Consider the following 2862-nt stretch of genomic DNA (forward strand, 5'->3'; position numbering starts at 1 on the left):
TTTGCAGTGAGAAAGGGTTGAGGGAGCTTATCTCATGCTTCTAGGCCAGTATTTTTCAAATCCTTTATCACAACTCATCATTGGGTCATTAAATCAATTTAGTGGGTCATGTCCAGTACTTTTTAAAAAATGAAGCTAAATAAAATGGAACAGAAAATAACTGTGAATCACATTTAGCAACTTTTGACTCAGTTAAATACATGCATATATTATATACATATATGCGCTATATATATATGTGCTATATATATACACACCATATATATGTGCTATATATATACACATCATATATATGTATATATGTATATATGGTGTGTGTATATATAGCACATATATATAACACACATATATGTATATATATACATATATAACATATATGGTGTGTATATATGGTGTGTATATATAGCACATATATATGGTGTGTGTATATATAGCACATATATATATGGTGTGTGTATATATATATGGTGTGTGTATATATAGCACATATATATATATACACATACACCCCATATATATATATATGGTAGAATTGTACTTCTTTGTTTTTCTTGAAGTAAGGCATGGCAAGGTAACCTGCTTTGACCAGTGAAAAGTGAGCAGAAGAGCTATGGGGCTTGCTTCAAGAGTCAGTGCACTGTTAGCCACATCTCTTATGCTTTGTCACTGCATTAGGCAATGATATCACTTCTCCATCAGCCTCAGTCCCAAAACAAAGAGACATGGAACACAGCCTTCAGCCAATCCACAATAGATATGTAATATAGGTAACAAATATGTTTATGTTACCATAAACCATTATGATTTGCGGTTTATTTATTACTGCTACATAACTTAGCCTATCCTGCCTGATAGAGAAGTCAAGTCTAGAAGGACATGATTCAAGACAAAAATGGAAGAAACAAAGAACATTTTTACACATAGGTACTCAATATGCCCTGATAGTCTATTAAAAAATAGATGGCAGGTAATTGAGTGCTAACTATATAATACAAGGAAAAGTAGACAGACGGGAAATAGAATTGTTAATAGAAGCCCTGAATTGGGATTCAAGGTGCTCCTTTGAAAGATAAATTGAAAAAAGTGCAGAGGAAAGAAGGCTCATTCAGTGATTGGAAAACAGGATGAGCCAAGGGTAGTAAGAATGGCATTCAGAGTGGAAGCTGAAGGTGAAGGTGGGCACAGAAATGAGACCCAGTCTCTCCAGAACAGATTGTTCATGTTAGAATAGAAGGAAATAAAACTTAAAAAGGAAGGTAAGATCCAATTTTATTTTTTTGTTTTTTAAACCAGAACATTTATTGAGTGACTAATCATTGAAATTCTTTTTTTTTTTTTTTTTTTTTTGAGATGGAGTCTTGCGCTGTTGCCTGGGCTAGAGTGTAGTGGCAAGATCTCAGCTCACTGCAACCTCCGCCTCCTGGGTTCAAGAGATTCTCCTGCCTCCACCTCCTGAGTAGCTGGGATTACAGGCATCCGCCACCACACCGAGCCAATTTTTTGTATTTTTAGTAGAGACAGAGTTTCACCATGTTGGCCAGGCTGGTCTCGAACTCCTGACCTCGTGATTTGCCTGCCTCGGCCTCCCAAAGTCCTGGGATTACAGGCATGAGCCACTGCAACCACCCAAATCATTGAAATTCTTAAGATGAACTGGATGCTGCAACAGCTGCCCTCTTTGGTTTATGTGTTGTTCCTTCATGGAATCAATGCTTGAATCTGAGATATACAATTTTTAGGTGCCTCATCCGACCAGTCCCAGTGCTATTTCGTCTTTTAGCCTTGGCACCCCAGTTACACTTCCTCTTGCGCTTGGCAGGGTAGCCACGTTTGCCACAGGTTGACATCTGAAGGTGGTAGGCCTTGGAGCTGCAGTGGTGGCACAACATGCGCATCTTCTTGTGACGCTTTCCCAACGACATTCCCTTCATCTTGTTGCTTCTGTGGTCGACACCAAAGAGATGGGAAGAGCAGATCCAATTTTAATGGAATCTTCAAAGTTATGCAGAAATGTTTATAATATGTAAAGCCCTTAGTGCAGTGTCTACTCATAATTGAAGGCTTGGCTAATATTAGTTGCTGTTGTGTTGCTGTTATTGTTGATATTGTTGTACAATGAAGAGCCATAGGAGACTTTTAGGAGATGTGCCACAGAAAGCAGTGCTTTATAAACTTATTTGGCTGTTATGCACAGGATGGACTGAAAAAGGAATAACTGAAAATGAGAAAACCAATGAGGCAGTGGTCTAGGAGTAAGGCAATGAAAGAAGAGAAATGAATAAATAAATTCTACTGCAACTAGTATTTTTTTGTCTGTCAGCCATTTCTCCACATGACACCAAGTGGACAGTCATAAAAGCAAAATCTTCCCGTATTAAGAACCAGTGATGCAGGGCCAGTGGCATGCAACTGTAGTCCCAGTTACTTAGGAGGCTGAAGTGGGAGGATTGCTTGAGCCCAGGAGTTCGAGGTCAGTCTAGACAACTTAGAGGAACACCATCTCTTAAAAAAGAAAGAAAGAAAAAAAGAACAACAGAAAGAACCTGTAAAAGTAGGGTTCAGTAATCCTATAAGGCATTTAGGGATTACTACAGCACTCTCCAGGGTGACGTCTATCTCTTGTGCTTTTGTGAAGAGTGAAATTAGGCAGCATAGTTACCATTTATCCAACCCTTAGCCTGCTCCCTTAGACCCTGGACCCTCCAGTGTATCCACAGTAATACCTTGGAGGGCATCTCCATTCTTCAGAAACACTGCCTTTACGAACTCCACCTAATGCCATAGAATCTACCCAGGTGCCAGGTGCCAGGTGGGAATGAAGCCTTCAGCTTCTGAAAAGAAGACAGAGCCAGTCAGTCTCAT

At 39.3% G+C, this 2862-nt stretch overlaps 1 pseudogene; it reads right to left on the minus strand.

Annotated features, from left to right (window-relative positions):
* Nucleotides 1628-1971, minus strand: RPL37P5 (ribosomal protein L37 pseudogene 5; annotated as a pseudogene).

Source organism: Homo sapiens, chromosome 14, assembly GCF_000001405.40.
Source record: "Homo sapiens chromosome 14, GRCh38.p14 Primary Assembly".
NCBI lineage: Eukaryota > Metazoa > Chordata > Mammalia > Primates > Hominidae > Homo > Homo sapiens.